We start from the raw sequence: 20,821 nt of genomic DNA on the forward strand, positions 1-20,821 counted from the left end.
CATAGTAGCTTACTCCAATAAAGAAGTGAAAATCAGTGTAGGCTTCCTGTCATTAGCTTTTCTCATGAAATTTAATGTTTTTTTCCTCCTGTATGGTAGTAATTTGTGTGACTAATAGCTTATATATTTTATTAACTAGCAAGCCGTTCTGTTTTGTTAATTACTAAATAAAATAGTTGTCAACTATGTCTGGATTTTTTCAAATGTGAAAAAACTACAAAGAATGTATTATAATTACAAAAAGCACCTATTCTGCAAGTTTGAGATGTTAAGAAACAATTTGTGAATATTTTTGAAAATTTGATTATAAAAAATTGAGAACAAATTATTCAAAAAATATCTAATAATGTAACTCTGTATGTTGTTATTGATATAAATCCAAATAAATTCTTCTTATTCTCATTCTCTCTCTTAAAAATAGAAAAATCTGTTTGATCTATGACTATCTTTAAGAAAATGAGATGTATCTCCCTTCTGCAGTTTTCAATTCATATAAACATATAAATGGACTTTTGCCACCTTATGTAAAGAAGAGCTAAAATAAATTTTCACCAAAAATAAAGAACCATCAAAAGGGATTGACAGTTGTCCAAGTTTGAGCCTATTCCATTCTTTATCGGAGTGTTAGGTCATTACTGAATTGCTATAAAGAAATACTTGAGGTGGTGCAATTTATAAGAAAAGATGTCTGATTGGCTCACAGTTCTACAGGCTGCATAGAAAACATAGCACTGCTATCAGCTTCTGTTGAGGACCTCAGGAAGGTTACAATAATGATGGATAAAGAGGGAACAGGTGTCTTACATGGCAAGAATGGGAGCAAGAGAGACAGTGAGGAGAAGTCACATAATTTTATAACAACCGGATCTCATGAGAACTGATTCACTATTTTCAAGCAACACCAAGCCCTGAGGGATCCACCCTCATGACCCAAAAACACCTCCAACCAGGCCTCACTTCCAACCCTGAGGACCACATTTCAGCATGAGATATGGGGGGACAAATATCCAAACTCTGTCATTCAGTAATTTGAAATAAGAAATAGAAAAATGAGTGACTTGACTCTTAAATTGGACATTGTGGGCAGTAAAGTAAGTAGAACCAGCTAACAATGGCACCATTATATGCCAACACTGAGCAAATTAAATTTGAGGAAGCTGAAACCGAACACTGAGCAGAAGAACTGTTATACTTAGGAGATATTGATGTATGTGTACACAGAGGAATAGAAAACAAAGACCATGCAGTCCTAGACGTGGAGAGAGGATCACTGTCTAAAGACTTTCCAGTTTTGAGGGAGTTCCAACTGTGTTGCTTCAAATTGGATGCCTGGAGTTCTCTGTACATTTACAATAACCTACCTTTATAAGCTGGGCTTATCAGAAGACTCTTGGACCCATGAAACCAAATCCTTCCTGAATAAAACAACCTCATTCTAAACAGTTAACCTGAGAGTGCATTTTCACGCAACGGAACTTCTTTTGATTGTAGATAAATAACCACAGCTGTTTATATTTGGATCATGTAATATATAAGAAGGATAATTCTTCATCGGGTATATTCAGATATTGACTCCTTACTTTACAATTTTTTACTCTAGAGGTCAAATTATCAAATAATATTTTTATTTTTAGAAACTTCAATACATTAAAGCTTTTTAAAAGCAAAACAATAATTATATTTAAAAACTGAGAATGACTGAAAAACTGTATAATAAGAACTATTTGTATTTTTTCTCTAACTCTATAACTACTTCTAAGTTACATAGACAAAAATCATAGAAAAAGTCTGAGTTCTAGGTTATCCTCAGTGAACTGTGACACTTACCTTTATGTAAGTGTCAGTCATAAAATCCCTTTCTCCCTCTCTAAAATTCCCAAAGTTATATGGTCACCTTGATCCCATATCCTTCCTTCCAGATCATTGTCCTGATATCCACTACCTGAAAAACCAAGCCTAAATGTTTCACGAGTTGATTCCAGGACCTGCATAGACATGGATCTCTTCTTCAATGTATCCTCTACAGGGTGGGCTCTGCTGCAATTACGTTGATCTCTAAGCCTAGGAGTAGAAGACTGGGGACAAAGAATGGTTCTTGTCACACACTGTGGACACAGCTTAAATAGGCTGTTGTGTCCATGCTCATGTGCAAAACTCTTGTCATGGTGAGAGTTTGAACCTGGCAGAGGTGGAGAAGGGGAGATCAGCCAAAGGCCAGGAGCTGGCTCTCTCCTTACTAGCATATTCTTGTTCAGAGCTCAGAAGAGTCTAAGTATCCTCCACTCAGATATGATCTTCCACATTATTATGAAGGAATGTTAGTCAGGTGAAGAAGATAAAACACATTTCATTGATTGGTTATAAGTTTTGGGTATTCAACACATAGTATATGGACTTTAATTGATATTATCACTCCCTGAACTATAAATATGCTAAGGGCAGACCAGAGATAAGACATAGTCTTTTCTCCAATAATATCTATTAAAATTTAAAATTTTTGGTCTAGAATATCAATACATTTTCATTTATTTTAAGAGTAATGTGAACCTGGATTCTAAGCAGACTGGCACTTTTTCTTTTTTTATATTAATTCTGGGACCACAACTGGATAATGAATTAATCCTAGACCAGTCTGTGTATATTTTGGGTCCCAAATTATTTCTATTCCAGGTGTCCTGTGGTATCTGCTTTCAGATTTAGAACTGTTGCTATTCAGATGGTTTTCAGTGTTTGGTAATGTACTGGGTCAAGAGGGTCTTTAAGTATCTGTTGTCTGTCAGTTGATTTTGCTGAAAGACTATATTTCCTTCTAAGGCCCTGCAAATTTTTTCCTGGGTGGTGCTGCAGTCCTTTATGCTTCTGCACTGTAGTGGCTCTCAAGCCCATTGATGGCTTACTACATACCCTTTTGAGGAGACCCAGGAGTGTCAATCATATAATTCTCTCCTCACTATCATTACTCAGTTCAACCCAGACACATATTAGTCAGTGAGTTTCTTGGGGTGTGCATTTTCTCTGGTCCAGTCAGCTTATCTTTCTTATTAATCAGTATCTTTTTCAATCTAAAGAAAGAAAAGGAAGGCACAAGATAGCCAACAAGACATAGCCAGGAAAAGCCTCTTGCACCAAATGAGACAATAATATCAAGTAAATGAACATATATCCAACTCATCTTTTGAAAAAAAAATTGAGAGTTGATAGAGAAGTGACACCGACAATGAGGCTGAAGAGGGGGAACCTAAGAGCCCTGCAAGGGGTTGTTGTGTGCACCACGACTCATTCTTGGCCCTGAATGACTCCTAAGGAAGTGGTGAGTTAAATAACTGTGGGACAACCCACTGTCACTGTGGTATCCTAGCTACAAAGGATCCTACAAACTCCATCGACAGTTGAGCTAGTTGGAGATACTTCCCAGAAAGTAGGCAGATACAGAGCTTATGCCTTCACAGAGCCTAGAGTGTTTTATAAAGAGACAGCTGCAACAAAACACAGCCATAGGGGTCTATCTCCCAGGGCTCTCCATACTGCTGTGAGTGGCTGTAGCCTTTGTTCACTGCCAGATCTAGAAAAAACAGGGCTGTCTTTTCTATAAGACTGGGGATGTCAGGTCTGTATGCACCTTACTTGCAAGCCCCTCCAAAGGTCCATGCCTGGCCACTCCCACAGAAGCAGGCTTGTAGCACAGTCTCAACTGTTCCACTGAATTGCCTTTCTGGTGGCCCCCACTGGAGCATTTTGCTGGCTACCTGTGCTGGAGCACTTCTCCAGTAACCCCTGTGAGAGTGTTTTGCCAATGGCCTGAGAGCATCTTGGTCCCTAACACAGCTGGTGCATAATATTTAGAGGCCGGATTAAAAAGCCATGGGTCTGGTGTGAACACCCCAGAGTTAGAGCACAGAACCTAGGAGTGCAGAACTGAGATCTGTGGCCAGAACTCAAGTGAGGGAAAAGCCCTCACTCTCAGAACACTGGGGAGAGAGAGGCATGGGTTTGTGGGCCAATGTTGGAAGCCGGGTGTGCCTCCCACCACAGGGCTGGCTTGGGAAGAGTGTGGTTTGTCTGCCAGCCACAGCTTCTGCTTGGTGGATTCCCTTGGCTCAGGACATCTAATTGCCTAGTGATCTGGGCATAGGAAGTTTGGGACAAAACTAACTAATTGGGCCAGATACTGAGAAGGAGATCTCTTCAAGGGAGAGTGGAGAATGAGTTGGTGGTCCCCACAGCTGCCTGCTGGGTAAAAATCCCCAGGCTGCAACAGTTTCACCTACAGCAACACCACTATCCCCAAAGATTCCCCACCCTTGGCCTTCTGCATCAAGAGACCACCTGTAGACATACCCAACAACCCTTTCTGACATTGTCCAGCACAGAAGACCAGCAGGTTCCCACAGAACAGCAGGTCTCCTGACAACCTAGCCTTTGGTTTTCAAACTGCCATTGAAAAATTATAACTGAGACAGTGAAAGCGATTTGGCCTAACCAACTCCATCTTACTTCTAACCTCCAAGCTATCCTTATTCATTCCTTTGCAAAGGTCAAACTAATTTTGTCAGGAACTTAGTTTGTTGTTTAAAACAAAGACAATAACAGCCCTTTACCAAAACAAATATCCTTTTTACCTGGGGACTAAATTGCCTTTGTAGGACTAACAAATTAGCCAAAAGATTAGAAATTATGGATTAGGAGTCATGCAGCTGGAGGCTACAAGATTCTGACCCTCTCCAAATTGCTCCTAGGGATAACATCACTATTGTAAAATCTAAGATCAGTGCTTGAGATATTTTGCAGGCTCTGCACTTGATGAATCAACTGGCAGCACCCAGATCAATAAACTGACTCATCTTATCTTGTGGCCCCTACCCAGGAACGGACTCAGCAAAAGAAGACAGCTTCAACTTGCTCTGATTTTATCTCTGCTCCCATCAATCAGCACTCCTGACTCAGTGGCCCCTACCCACCAAATTATCCTTAAAAACTCTGATCCACGAATGCTCAGGGAGAGTGATTTGAGTAATAATAAAACTCTGATCTCCCACACAGCCAGCTCTGTGTGAGTAATTCTGTATTGCAAATTCCCTGTCTTGATAAATTGGCTTTTTCTAGGCAGTGGCAAGTTTAACACGTTGGGTGTTTACAAATTTGGGGGCTCAGCAGAGGTTGCCCTTGGGACTATTTGCCTGTGGTTTAGGAGCCTCACTTCAGTGATGGATCTGGAGGCCAGCCAAGTGGCCACCTAGTTCTCTTGGACTGGGGGCTGACTCTGACACTGTTTCTACCAGTGGGTCATTGCCAACCCAATGTGCATGGATTTGATTACAATAGAGAAATAGTCTTGGGAAGACATCCCATAACTCTATCCCCATTATGAGGAGTCTGTAGTCCCATAATGGAGTGCCTGTAGATGTATTCTGATTATGGAGTGTCTAATTTGGTGAGTATTCTAGTTGCTGCCAATACCTCCTTTCTTCTCCTGATTGGTCCAGATCCTTCAGCGTCTTGGTTTGGCACCTTTGGGAGTCTCAATTGGCTCTTCCTAATTAATAGAAGTAGTCTTGGTTTGAGAGATTTCTCCTCAATCTGGAAGGTTTGAAGGAGGTAAATGGAAAATGGAAAATGGAAGTGGGAAAATAAGAGGTTAGTTTGGAAGGAATACTCTTAGAACTTTTGGTTAGGGATCTTGGTTTGGAAAGCCTTCGGTCTGTCTTGTCTTTGTTGTGTTTGTATGTGTTGAGAGGATCTCTGAAGGAATTGCTGATGGAAATCCAGCAGGCATAACTCAGAGAACCCTTTGTAAGTCTCGTCAAATTCCATGAGCCCTGAAGAAAGCTCAGGAGTTCTGACTTCGGGTGACCATTCTCTATTCTCCTGACCCAGAGACAACCCATTGATCAGGGGTTTCTCATTTACCTAGCCTGCAGCTTTCAACTCCTCATGGGAGGGAGCATGCAAGTGAACGAGGTGGGAACTGGAATGCATGAACTCTGGAAACAACCACCCACTTCGGAGCTGACAGGAGCAAACTTCAATCACTCAGACTTCCTGCGCTTCATCCATCATGAGAGGGAGCACACAGGTGAGTGCATGTAGAAGCCAGAGCGAGTGCTCTTGGGTTCTGGCAGGCATAAACTCTGTGCAGGCCCTGTGACAGCAAATGGGGGTTTCCTGTGACCCCTGAAGCTCCAGAGGGAGTGTTAAATTGCTCTTCTAGCTCTGCCATCCATGGACGGCTTAAGTGTTACCAGCTCTGTGGGCCCTCTGCCTTTTCACATGAGGTGGCTGCCTTCTGCTAGTGAGGGCAAAGGGCAAGTGTGACAGCCTTTTGTATCCACACATGTGGCACCTGAGCTCTTGTCTGGCATTCAGGAGAAATTAGGTCGCATGAAGAAATTGAAGGATAGTAAATGTGGGAGGTTATATTGCCAAAGAAAGTGGTTCTCTGCAGGAAGGGAACCTGAAAATGGGATGGGGCAGGAAGTTAATCTTTCCCTGAAGTCCGGCCATCTTTGACCAGATTCTTCTCCAAAGTTATGACATCTCGCTATCCTTCTGAAGTCAAGCCAATTTTCTCCAAAGTCCAGCAGTAGTCTTTGACATCCAGCTGCTTCTCCTCTCTCTGCCAGCTGAGTCTGGGTTTTTTTAGTCGCAGTATGGGTGGAGCGGGGCCATGGGTGTTTTTGAAAAAGACAACATTTAAGCAGAAAAACAGGGATGTAAGTTTTCACTTTGAGCCATGGTTTCAGGCTTGAGGATGGGATTTTGTTGGGGACCACCTTGTTCTGCCTAGAATTTCTCTGCCTCCTCTTCCTATTATTTCCCTCCTCTTAAGAGACACATCTAACTGCAGTTAGAATATGGATGATGACCAATCATAGCTACTCCCTGCTTACAGGGGACATTGCTTTGGGGAGAATTCCTCCCTGAGGAATTCCTCCCAGAGGTCTACCTAAGGTTCCTCGGCAGAAGGGAGCCATCATCTGAGGCTCCAGTTGCCTGATCATTTGGAGTTTAATGGCCTCTTGACAAGAAGAAACAAATTTTACAAGGTTAAGTATGCATAGATCAAATATGTGTATTATACAAAAAAGGAGTTAAGAGGAAAGAATCTATTGCCAAAGATTACAGAAATAAAAAGTGAAATATACTAATTCTGAAATTATTCGATCTGGTATAGAACAGATCGAAGGTAAGAATAACAAGCATAGGCAAGACTATAAAAAGGATACCAATGGGAGGTTAATTATTAACACTAATCTTTTGTAAGTTTTAGCTCGAGGTCACCGATATCTTCACATTGGTACTTTGGATGCTCTTCTGGGTTGACAGGGTAATTCTGTTAACTTCCCAGTCCTTTACTCAGCTATAATGAATCCAATAATCTATTCCAGTGACCTTCACTACCATATGAGTAGAAAGAAGTATGGTGTAAGGTCCCTGCCAGTCTGGGCTTATAGAGAGAGCAAGAGAAGGAAGTACCTTTACCAGTACTAGATTCCTTGGGTTGAATTGAGTGGGCCTAGTTCATCGGATTGGGCCTCCATCAGTTGTTTCAGTTCCTCTTAGATATGGCACAAAAAAATTATATGTTTAATTAAATCAGAGGTTTCTTAGTCTAGCAAAAAACATCAGTGAGATAAGGCCCTCCATATATCATTTCAAACGGACTCAAACCTAACTTTGAAGGGGTGTTTCTAACATGTAGTAGGGATATGGGGAGGATAGTCCAAGGGATATCAATCTCCTGAGACAGTTTCCTGAAGTGTCTTTTGATAATATCATTTTTCATTTCTAACTTTCCCAAGGATACTGGTATCCAAGCACAATGAAGATGGTACTGTATGCCTAGTGCCTTTGAGACTCCCTGGGTGACAGCTGCCTTGAATGAGGGTCCATTATCACTCTAGAGGTACTTAGGAAGTTCAAAACAAGGAAGTATCTAATTAATTAATATCTTAATCTTCTCAGAGGTATTCTCTGTTCAACATAGAAATGCTTCTACTCAGTTAGTAAAAGTACCTATCCATACTTGGAGGTACTAGATGCCCCTTACCATTGGCATACTGGTGAAATTCATTTGCCAGTCTTTCCCTGGGTAGCCAACTGTCCTTTGGGTTCCTGCGGGAAGAAGGCATCAGTTGAGGGGATTCTTTTTAAGGCAAGTCTGGAAAGCATTAAAAACCTATTTAACCACTTGTATCAGGTTTTTACCTGAGAAAAAGATCTGGACCAGTTGATAGGTTTTATCCTTACCTAGGTGGAAGGCCTGGTGAAGGCTTTTGAGGACTTTCTATTGGTTGGCAGCCAGTAGATGAAGCTTGGCATCCTCTCATTTTAGCCATCCTGAGGACTGAAAGATATATCCCCAAGAGGTGGCCCATTCTATTTTTGCAGATCATTGAGGTTTTATTTCACTTATGAAGCCCTCTCAGATCAGTGGGGCTTCAAGTGACTCCTAAATGTGGACCCCTTTTGCTGCTGATTTAGCCACTTGGTCTATCAACGTATTTCTCTTGGCTATTTTATCCAGTCACTTTTTGGTGGCATTTACAATGTATTACTGCCACTTTTCATGAGAGGATAACCTAGGATAATAGTCTACTAATTTCCTGATGGTATTTAATGGGAGACTTGTTAGCTGTGAGGAAGACTATGCTGACTAGAATCAGCATAAATGTGAACCATTTTCCCTTGTTTCGGTGCCCCTGTGAACACAATTAGCTCATCTAGTTGAACACTTGTGCCTGAAGAGAGAGACATGCTCTTAACAATGTCATTCAGAGTAACTATTGCATACTTTGCTTTATGGATTCCTTGTTCTACAAAAGAACTGTCCATAAAGGTAATCCAGTCTTGTTTCTCTAATGGTGTTTCTTTGAGGTCCTCTCTGGACACATAGGTTTGTACTGCTGTCTGTTCACAGTCATATTCAAGCTCTCCAGCTTCCTGTGGAAGGAAAGTGGCTGGATTTAGGGACTAGGGACAGCTTGTTAAGTGGAATGCAGACCCTATAATAGCAGAGCTAGCTTGTTACCTGAAGAGGCAGTTGTCCATTAGCCATAGACAAGACAGCAGTCTTGCCACATTATGTGGAGTATAAACAGTTAAGTTATTTCCTATGGTTGACTTAGTAGCCTCCTGTACCAGCAAAGCTACTGCTGCAACTGCCCAGAGACAGGCTGGCCATCTTTTGGCTACAAAAACAAGTTCCTTACTTAAATACCCTACAGGCTGCTGGGCTGGACCCCGAGCCTGGGTTACAACTCCCAGGAGCATTCACTTCCTTTCTGACACGTAAAAGTTAAAAATATTTCCTATGGAAAAACTTATGACTGGTGCCTTAAGCAAGCCTTGTTTTAGTTAGTCAAGGGCCTTTCTAGCCTCTGGTTCCAAAATTAAAGAGTAGGTATTAGCTGCTTAAGTCTCTTTTATTAGGTGATATAAGGGATGAGCTATTTCACTGTAGCCAAGGATCCATAGTTTGGAGAATCCCATAATATCTATGAATCCCCTCAGTTGCTTGAGGGTTTGGGGAGGGAAAAGGAGAAGTCAGGCTTAATCTTTTCTTCCTCCAATTTCCAGGTCCCCTCTGAAAAGACCAGACCTAGTCACTTCACTGAAGCTTGACAGAGCTAAGCTTTAGATTTTAAAACCTTATATCCTCTGTTAGCCAGAAAAATTAAGAAGAGCCTTACTGCTCTCTTGAGAGATTTCCTCGGTTGGAGTGCACAGAATAATGTCAACTACATATTGTAAAACTTTACCCTGATGATAAACAAACTCAGAGAGGTCTTTTGATAAGGCCTGCCCAAACGAAGTGGTGAGTGTTTCAGAATACCTGAGTAACATCATCCAGGATAAATGGGTGATTTGGTTAGAGAGATCCTCAAATGTAAACAAATACTGTCAGTCAGGGTGTAATGGTATTCAGAAGACATTTTTTAGGTCCAGGACTATGAACCATTTAGTTCCCTCAGGTGTTTGAGCTAGCAGGGTGTATGGATTGGGAACCACCTGGTGAATTGAAACCACAACCTCATTAATGAGTTGAAGGTCCTGAAGTAGTCTCCATTTCCCATTGGGTTTTTGTACCCCCAACATTGAGGTATCACAAGGTCTGTTTTAGGGTTTGAGGAGGCCCTGCCACCTTCAATTACCAATGATGGCTTCTAGTTCTTTCCTAACTTCTGGTTTCACAGAGTATTGTTTCTGGTTAGAAAAGGGGTTGGGATCCTTAAAATGGATCTGGACCTGTATGGCAATTTTGGCTCAGCCAATTTTCCCTTGAATTGCCCAAACTTCTAGGTTAATATTGGTATTTACTAGGAAGAAACAAAGAGTTTGTACTGAAGCCATCAGGTGGTCTCCATATGGACCAAAATATCCCTGTCAAACAGAGGAGTTGGGCTTTCAGGCATAATTAGAAAGGCACAAGTGAACAAGAGGTCTCCCCACCAACAACTAAGGGATTAGGAAAAAATATCAGGTTAAAGACCTTCTTGAGACACCCCACATGGTCATGCTAAGAAAGTAGAGGGGGCCAGAATTGGAGAAAATAACCAAGAGACCAGCCCCGGTGTCCAGAAAGAGGTCTACTTTCCTTCCTTCAGTTTCCAGAATTACCCAGGGCTCCTGGATGTTAATGGTGATCTGGACCATCAGAGCCAGGGAGAGAAGCCCCACGACTCCTCATTCCTACTGGACCATTTGGGAAATTGGCTCTGGGCCCAGTGACCAGAATCCCTGGGGGAAGTTCACCTTCCAGTAATCCTCACTGTAGATTGAACAGGGTCAAGATGGGTTTTTCATGCTGCCTAGGCAATCCTCCCTAAAATGCCCTGATTTACCAAATCTGTAGCTGTTAACAAGTGCACCTCAGAGATTCTGGGGCTTGTGGGCTTCCATGGTGGCCATTAAAGTTTCTACCTCTTTCCTTTGTCTTCTCTCTCTCTCTCTGGGGTCTTCTTGTATCTATTATAAAAGACCAGGGTGGCCACTTTCAGGAGGTTCTCTAAAGTACTGTCTGGTCCCAGGACCTGTTTGTATAGTTTCCTCCTGATATCAGGGGTTGCCTGAGTAATAAATTTATCCTTTAGGATTAGTTGTCCTTCAGCTGAATCAGGAGGTAGAGAGGTGTGCTTTACCAAGGCCTCTCTTAGCCTTTTCAGGAAGGCAGTGGAATCTCATCAAATTCCTCATCTATTATGGATAGCTTGGTATAAACAAGAGGCTTGGTTCTAGGCCCATGTAAGCCCTCCATTATGCACACCTGAAAGTGTCTTCTCTTCCATTCTCCCTTCTCATCATTGGGATCCCGTTTAGGGTCATTCAATGGTACTACTTATCTTCCAGTTGGATAAAGTTTGACCCCTTCTCTGACAGTATATGTGATACAAATCTCATTCTTAAATCTCTCTGCTGCTTGTGGAGTGGACTGCTTCTCAATGTTAGTCAGGGTTTGATTCAAAAGTAACATAACACCTTTGCAGGTGAGTTAAAATACTTGGCTTAAATTCTGGATAGCCTCTAAATATCTGTCAGGGTCATCAGAAAACTTACCAAGATGCCCCTTACTTTGCTTTAAGTCCTGTAGAGAGAAGGGGACCTGGATCTTACTGGGGCCAAATTGACCAGGCATCTTTTGGAGGGGCAACAGTGAGACTGGGGCTTATCTAGGATGAGGATTTCTAGGAGAGGGCAAGTGCGAGTGAGAAACTGAATAGGGAAGATGGAGTGGACCCAGAGGAACAGGGACAGACAGAGCTGACCGTCCTGCTTGAGGTGCCTCTGGAGTTTGTTTCTTTAGTTTCCTGATATTGGGCAGCCTCTCCTGAGATGGCAACATGGAGGGCTTGATCAATCCTACACTGTTGACAAAGGCCTGGATTATTACCCTGAAGGGTAAAGAAAGCCTGCACATATGGGGCCTCAGACCACTTGTCTTCATATTTACAGAAAAGGTCCAACTGCAGGATGGTATGAAGATGAATGGGTCCTTCCCGAGTCAGTCCTTCTAGCAGATTATAATTTGGCTAAGCCTTTGTGCAAAACACATTTTTGCTCCAGAGTCTAAGGATCAAAGCAGCCCCCGTGATTCAAAATACACTTCGGAGAAATATAGACTGAGGATGGTGAAGATAGTTGGTCACCCATTCTGAAGAGGAAAATAGATGTCCCACATTTCCCTTCCCTCTTTCAGCAAAAACTCAGCATGTGGGAGAGAAAGAATACAGGATTCCCTCTTTTCTGTTTTGTCTTTTTATCCCAGAGACCTGGAGACCTTAGACACCACCCATGGGTGCCGTTGTGGCCTGCACTCATAAAGCAGGAAGGCCCTAGGGAAAAGGAATTATTCACACACACACCTACACCTCCATCCCCAATTTTTGGGTTCCCTGAGCCTTATCTATACCATTGAGCATGGCCTATTTCCAAGAAGAGAGGGCGTAATCGGCAGAAACTAGTCCTGCCAATTTACACTGTGCCTGTGGCCTGGCTTTGGATCCGTCAGATCTGATTTTTCTTTCAAGTGGGAGAAGAATCTTTTTTTTTTTTTTTTTTTTTTTTGACGGAGTCTCACTCTGTCGCCCAGTCTGGAGTGCAGTGGCGCCATCTCGGCTCACTGCAAGCTCCGCCTCCCGGGTTCACGCCATTCTCCTGCCTCAGCCTTCTGAGTAGCTGGGGCTACAGGTGCCCACCACCATGCCCGGCTAATTTTTTGTATTTTTAGTAGAGACACGGTTTCACCATGTTAGCCAGGATGGTCTCGATCTCTGACCTCATGATCCGCCCACCTCGGCCTCCCAAAGTGTTGGGATTACAGGTGTGAGCCACCACGCCCGGGCGAAGAAACTCTTGCTCTATGAATATGGGTTCCTTGAATCACCCTATTCTTCCCGTGGGTTGGACCGAGCTGGACCCCTCAGACAGAGGAGAAAAGACTCTTTGGGCATGTGGCAGAAGGGGACTGCAAGTGGGAAACACTGGTCAACGGGCTGCATGGGACCCCTGGCGCCCTAGAGTGTCTTGGTGCCCTGGCAGCGGCTGCGGGTCTCACCCACCCCACATGGCCATTGGGTGTGGCAAGTGCATGCTGCGAACACAACCAAGTACCCCAGCTGGGAGGGGAGAAGGTAAGGAGGGAGCCACTGTGTGCTGCACTCACCGTTGGGGAGGGGGTTGGGATGGCATCTCTAAGAACAAATGGAAATCACATTTTCTGAACTGCATATCTGGTGGCTGGCCCAAATGCCCATTTTACCTAATAACATTTCTGCAGTTTGTAGCAAAACCCTTAACATTATAAAAGAAGAGATAGGAGCCATTTCACACCCTGAAAGAAGAACGGAAAAGATGCGACAGAAAAGTCTGGTTGTCAGGTGGTTGAAGACAGGGCCCAGTCTAGGGGACTTCCAGCAATGCTAAAGAGTGTCTTTGGCCAGATGACTTCAGAGTAGCTCCAGGACTTTATTCTGGTCCCACATGATAGGTAGACCTTCATGAAGGGACACTGAGCCAACCTTTCTTTCACCTGAAAGAGAGATATGGCAGGGTTGCATCCTGTTATCTGAAAATGGCATAGCTCAGAGGAAAGTCTGAGGACAAGAAGTCTTGGGAAAAAAGTAAAGACACAGATCCAGTATATCTGCATTTATTTATTCACCCTTCTGATACATCCCAGACATATCCCTAGATGAAGCGGGATATTTCCGTGACCCCTCGTGGGACCCTTGACAGGGGTGCCTCATTTACCCAGTCCACAGCTTTCAGCTCCTCATGGGAGGGAGCATGTGAGTGAATGAGGTGGGAACTGGAGTGCATGAATGGAACTAGTCAGCCACTTCAGTGATGGCAGAAGTAAACTTCACTCACTCAGACCTGCTGCATTCCACACCTCATGGGAGGGAGCTCATGGGTGAGTGGGTGCAGAAACCAGGACTAGTGATTTTGGGCACCAGCAGGAGCAGATTCCATGCATGCCCCGCAGCAGCATCTGGGGGGCGAGGGTGCAACCCCTGAAGCCCCAGAGGGAGTGTTACAGTGCTCTGTAAGTTCTGCTGTCCACAGGTGGCTTAAGAGTTAACAGCTCAGTGGGTCCTCTGACTTCTCATGTGAGGTGGCTGCCTTCTGCCAGTGAGGGAAAAGGGCAAGTGTGACAACCTTTTGTATCCACACTCATGTCACCAAAGCTATTGTGTGACATTCAAGAGAAATGAGATTGCACAAACTCCTACTCTGTCATAGAAAGCCATATATGTACCAGTGAAAAGGGGGCCCCGCATGACTATCTCCATTTTGCTTCTAACTCTTCCTCTCCCTGTGGTGATAACTTTTAGGATAAATCCTTTTACTTATCTCTGCTTGTAAGAAAAACTAACAATGGGAGTAACTTAGTTTTTAGTGTAACTTTAAGGCAAGAATGATAATAGTCCTTTCCCCAAACTAAACCTTGAGGATATAAAGAGGGCGTACACACAAATAAAAATGTTATGCTAAAGTTTTGTAAGAGCACTGTGACCGGATCAAGAACAAAGAAGTTTCACAATCTCTTCAGACCCTCACTGCTGCATAGATGTTTGTGGTCATCAATCATATCTTGACCTCAACCTCCTCCCTCTTTCCTCTTCCCCTAACATAAAAGGTATCTAAAATTCATATTAAGATGGTTCTTTAGGATGGAAGTCCACCATCTTCTCGTTTTGCTGGCTTTCTAAATAAAGTCAACTCTTTGCTCCATCAACTAGTCCCTTGACTTATTGGCTGCCATACAGTGAGCTGTAAAAGTTTTGACTTGGTTACAATATAGTATTTTTATTTTGGAGAAAAAATCCAAACTGATTTCCCATTTTTTCAACTTTTAATTAAAAATTATAAAATTAACTTTAACGGTTTGCTCATGTAATCAGAATTTACTGCTTCTCTTTACTGGTAATTTTAAAAGAGTAAAATTAATTTTTATAGAAAAATCTACCATATGAAGTAAGAACATAATTATATTTTATGTGTTAAATTATATATTGTTACAGAAATATGTTTATTAAACTTTATATATGTAGAGAAAATTCAGAGTTAATTTTAGGCCTTTAATTTGTTTAAAGTTATAAATAGAAAAATCTAATTTGCATTAATAGTAATCTTTATCCTCTTACCAGTAGTAAAATATTTCCACAAAATTCCAAAGTAATCTTGAATGTTAGTAAACATTGTAAAATTAGTAATAAAGGTGTTTATTGGCTTATGAAAGTAAATAAAATAAATATTTAGATTCCATTAAAGTACTTATAATATGCACCACATGGATTCAAGTCTCATTTCTACTCTCATTTTTTCTCTTTGCCATTCAGTGTCCCCATCTGTCCCATGCAGATCCTACATTACAGCTGCAGCCTCATGGCTACCTCTTAATTAACTGCCTCTGTGACTAATGTAAGTAATTTTTCTTCTTCACAAAAATTAATTTAATAAAATTTACAAGAAAAATTTAATAAATGAGCTATAAACCTAAAGTTAAAAATTTTAAGCATTCTATGGAGTCAAACTTAGAGCTTAAGATACATTGTTGTGTTTTTTTAGTTGATTGTAATACATTGCTGATAAATGTTTCATTATTATTATTATTGTTATTTAAACTTTGTTTCAGTGACCGTATTTTTGAGGTATACCTCCCCACAAACAAATAAATAACCTATAAATATTTCCACAAAATTTTTAAGATATTTTTATTTATTTATTTTTAAGATATTTTTATGTGAAAATAATAGATTACTTAGGGGTGTCTTCTGTAAAGGACTTTTCCCATACCTTAGCTGACATATCGTGCTGGGTATTTTATTAAACATTGTTTTGTAGCCTATATATCTACTAGAATACTAGGTATTTTCATTTTGGTCTATTGTCATCCCATCATGACAAGTATTTGGGGTTTACTATAAAAAACTATAGCCTTCTGGATAAGAAAAGTATCCATTTGATTGTCCAAGGTAATGCTAACATCCAGCGGCTTCACTAGGTTAATTGGAGGTCTTGCCTAATGCTGCAGTAAATATACAGTAGATAGCTCTCTAAATTGCTTAATTGAGAAAGTAATGTAAAAGATACAATGAAATGCATTTGTCATTGGAATTATCTGTGATGCTTCAAAATAAATCTAATATCATCTATGAGCACATTATTCACACAAGGGAAAACATATTGCTTTCAAATTCCTAATATTGTCCTAAAGAAGGGTGGTGAATTATCTTCCTTGTTACTCATGCCTCTGTAAAGCTGTGCATGTCTGTGGTTACAGTGATTGCAGAAATAATAATGGTGATAATAAAGTGCAATTTTTGAGCTGCCTTTGAAGACAGCAAGGCAGTCCTTTCACAATACATCTTTGAAAAAAATTATCTTGTCCATTACCTATTCCAAGTTCTGGCTTCCTAATTTCTCCCTCCTTTTGATGTTTCTCATTCTTCTAGCTTTCTTTTATTTCACACAGTTTAAATACTTACTTAAAAATATAGCCAATTAGATTTTCTGAAACAAATCCTTAGTGACTTTCTAATTGAAACTTTATTTTCATTAAGGGGAATAGTAGACAAATATTCACTATGTAAATACCTAATGGATACTGTTCTTGCATTAGTTGTATTAACAGCAAAAGCTACTTGTTTCCCCACTTGAATGCTTTTCTTCAAGGCTAATTTGCAAAAATCATTAAATGTGGGTATGAAAACTTGTAAAACATTCCTTCATCAACTAGCATCCATTTATTTGTCACTGCATTAATTATAATCCCTCACATTATTTATTCTAATTTCTTATTTCCTCTAAGAAAATCAACACTTTTGTATATACTTTTTATTCTTTCCCCATTGTTTTTAATCTAAATTCACAAAGAAGTTTTTTTAAAAATATGTTTTAAAATTTAAGTACACTCACTACTACCATGATATATACAAAAGCTGCCTATTATGTATAATTGTTTTTGGCAAAAGCAAAATAAGTTAATGTGTATATTATATCTGAGAAAGTAATATAAGCATCAAATAATTAAAAACTAATTATCTTAATTTCAAAACAAGTCCCTTTTTACTTCTCTTTAAGACAAATTCAAAAATATGATACAAATACAAGCTACTATAATTATCCACATTGTATAATCTTTTTCAGTTTTATTTAGGTATGAGTGATAAATAAATATTGCATGTATTTCAGATATACTGTGCAATATTTTGATATATGTGTACATTGTAAAAGGACTCCCAATCAAGCTAATTAAACTATCTCTTACTTATCTTTTTGGGGGGGTGCAAGGGAGAGAGGGGAAGAACATTCTATATCTACTCCCCAGCAACTTTCAAATGTACAATACGTTATTATGAACTATAGTGATGATGTTGTAAATTAGGTCTCCAGAACTTAGTCACTTATAAATAAAAGTTTTTATCCTGTGAACCACATGCCTCCTGCGACCACCATTTACTCTCTATGAATCCAAATTTTTATATTGCACATATAAGTGAGATCACACAATATTTTTCTCTCTGTGTCTGGCTTATTTCACTTAAAATAATGTCCTCCAGGTTTATACAGGTCACAAATGTCAGAGTTTCCTTTTTTTTAAGGCTGAGTTGTATTCCATTGTGTTCAGACACTGCATATTCTTTATGTATTCATTCATTGACCAGTTCTTAGAATTTTCTATATTATGGCTATTGTGAGTAATACTGCAATGAACATGTGAGTGCAGATATGTTGTCAAAATACTGATTTCATTTCTTTTGGGTGTATACTACATCATGAGATTGCTGTGTCTTATGATGGAAACACTTCTGGTTTTTTGAGGAACCCCTATATTGTTTTCTATGATGGCTTTACCAAATAACAACACTACCAATAGTGTACATGGGTTTACTTTTCTCTAAATTTTCACTAACTTTTTATTTTACTTTTTAAATAACAGTCATCCTCACAGATGTGAGGAGACATCTCAATATGGATTTGATGTGCATTTCCCTGCTGAATAGTGATGTTGAAGATTTCTTCAGATATCTGCTAGCCTTTTGCATATCTTCTTTCGAGAAATGTCTTTTCAGGTCATTTGGCTATTTTTAATTGGTTTATTTGTTTTCATTTTTGCTGTTGAGTTGTATGAATTCTTTATGTCTTTTGCATATTAGCCCTTCATCAGATAGATGGTTTGAAAATATTTTGTGACCTTTGATAGGTTGTCTTTTTATTTTGTTGTTTACTTTATTGTGCAAAAACTTTTTAGTTAGATGTAGCTCCATTTGTTTGCTTTTTATTTTGTTACATGTGCTTCTGGTGTCATATCCAAACAAACTATTGCCAAGACCAATAGTAAGAAGATTTTCTTCTGGAATATTGATAATATCATGACATATTTAAGTCTATAGTCTATTTGAGTTGATTTATGTGTATAGTGTAAGATAAGAATCCAATTTCAATTTTATTATGGCTATCCGGTTTTTCCAATACCCTTTACTAAAGTGACTACAAGCATACTTCATTTTATTGTACTTCACAATACTGATTTTTTTTTTAACAAATTGAAGGTTTGTGACAACCCGGTGTCATTCAATTTTATTGGCATTATTTTTCCAACAATATATGCTCACTTTGTGTTTCTGTGTCACAGTTTCGTTATTTTTTAAATATTTAAACTTTAAAAAATTATTATATTTGTTATGGTGACCTGTGATTACTGATCTTTGATGTTACTATTGTAGTAGTTTTGGGCATCACAAACTCTACCCATAAAAGATGACAAACTTAATTGATAGAGACTGTATGTGCTTTGACTATTGTACTAACCAACCATTCCCCATTTCTCCCTCTTCTTGGGCCTCCCTATTCCCTGAGATACAACAGTATTGAAATTAGCCCAATTAATAACCTTCTAATGGCCTCTAAGTGTTCATGTAAAAGAAAGAATTTCATATCCCTCACTTTAATCAAATGCTTGAAAAAATCATTAGGCTTACAGAGAAATGCATGTAGAAACATAAGATAGGCCAAAAGGCAAGCCTCATGTGCCAAACAGTTACCCAAGCTGTGTATGCAATAGAGAGATTTTCAAAGGAAGTTAAAATGAGACTCTAGTGGACACATAAATTATAAGAAAGCAAAACAGTCTTCTTGCTGTTATGGAGAAAGTGAGTGTTCTGGATAGAAGATCAAACCAGACACAACATTTCTTTAAGCCAAAGCCTACTTCAGGTCAAGGGCCTAACTCACTTCAAACCTGTGAAGGTTGAGAGATGTAAGAAAGATACAGAAGAAAAATTTGATACTAGCAGAGGCTGGTTCAAGAGTTAACATACCATTAAATCTCCATAACATACAAGTGCAAGGTGACATTTCACCTGTAAAAACTCATATAAACTAAAAATAAAGACATGGGAAAAGATACTCTATGCAAATGGAAGCCAGAAAAGAGCAGGAGTAGCTATACTTATATTAGGTAAAATAGGCTTCAAGAAAGAAACTGTAAAAAGAGACAAGGAAAGTCATCATATAATGATAAAAGGGTCAAATCAGCAAGAAAATGTAGCAATTGTATATGTGTGTATATATATATATGCACCCAAAGCTGGAGTACTCAGATATATAAAGTAAATATTATTAGACCTAAAGAGAGAGATAGACCCAATACAATAATAGCTAAAGACTTAATAACCCCACTTTCACCTTAGATAGATCATCCAGGCAAAAGATCAACAACAAAGACACCAGATTTAATCTGCACTATGGACCAAATGGACCTACAAGACATTTAAATAATATTTTCCCAAACAGTTGCAGAATACACATTATTCTTCTCAGCACATATATTCATTCTTAAGGACAGACCATATGTTAAGCCACAAAAAAACCCAAACTTAAAAAATTCAAAAAAAGTGTCTTCTCTGACTACAATGGGAAGAAAACTAGAAATAAACAAGAAGAGAAGTTTTTGAAACTATACAAACACATGGAAATTAAACAATATGCTCCTGAATGACCAGTGGGTTAATAATGAAATTAAGAAAAAAATTTTAAAACTTCTTGAAACAAATGAAAATGGAAAGAGAGCATACCAAAGCCTATGGGATACAGAGAAAGTGGTACTAATAGGAAAGTTTATAGCAATAAACACCTACATAAAAAAATTAGAGAAACTTCAAATAAACAACCCAGGGATGCATCTTAAGGAACTAGAAAAGAAAGAGAAAGCCAAGCCCAAAATTAATAAAATGAAAGAAATATTAAAAATATTAAAAATCAGAGCAGAAATAAGTAAAATTGAAGCAAAAACAAAACAAAAGGTCAAAGAAATGAAAAGATCATTTTTTGAAAAGTTAAAACTGACAAAACTCGAGCCAGATTAACAAAGACAAATAAATTTAAAAAATCAGAGATGAAAAACAGGTAATTACAGCTGATATTGCAAAATTCAAGGGATCACTGGAGACTACTTTGAGCACGTATATGCCAATGAATTGGAAAACTTAGAAGAAATAGATATATCCCTAGACATACAATCTACCAGGATTGAGCCATGAAAAATTCAAGACCTGAATAGACCAGTAAGTAATGAGATAGAAGTTGTAAAAAGAAATAAGTAAATAATCCCCCAGAAGAGAAAAGCCTGGGACCCAATTGTTTCACTGCCAAGCTTTATCAAACATGTGAAGTAGAAATAATACCAGTTCTACTCAAATATTTTTAAAAATTGGGGAGAAGAAATAGTTTCAAACTCATTCTGTGAAACCAGTTTTATACTGATAACAAAACCAGACAAAGACACGTCAGAATGTGTCCCTAGTGAATATTGGAAAAA

General features: G+C 39.4%; 1 long non-coding RNA gene across 1 annotated transcript in view; it reads left to right on the forward strand.

Moving 5' to 3' along the window:
- The first annotated feature begins 1,925 nt into the window (after positions 1 to 1,925).
- The window catches only part of LOC105377841 (uncharacterized), a 41,388-nt gene continuing 22,492 nt past the window's right edge, over positions 1,926 to 20,821 (forward strand). The window contains exons 1-4 of the long non-coding RNA XR_942657.1: positions 1,926 to 2,027; positions 3,069 to 3,310; positions 5,912 to 6,073; positions 15,339 to 15,420. This is a non-coding gene — a long non-coding RNA (uncharacterized LOC105377841). The remainder of the gene's footprint in view (positions 2,028 to 3,068; positions 3,311 to 5,911; positions 6,074 to 15,338; positions 15,421 to 20,821) is intronic.

The sequence above is a fragment of the Homo sapiens genome, chromosome 6 (genome assembly GCF_000001405.40).
Source record: "Homo sapiens chromosome 6, GRCh38.p14 Primary Assembly".
NCBI classification, from domain to species: domain Eukaryota; kingdom Metazoa; phylum Chordata; class Mammalia; order Primates; family Hominidae; genus Homo; species Homo sapiens.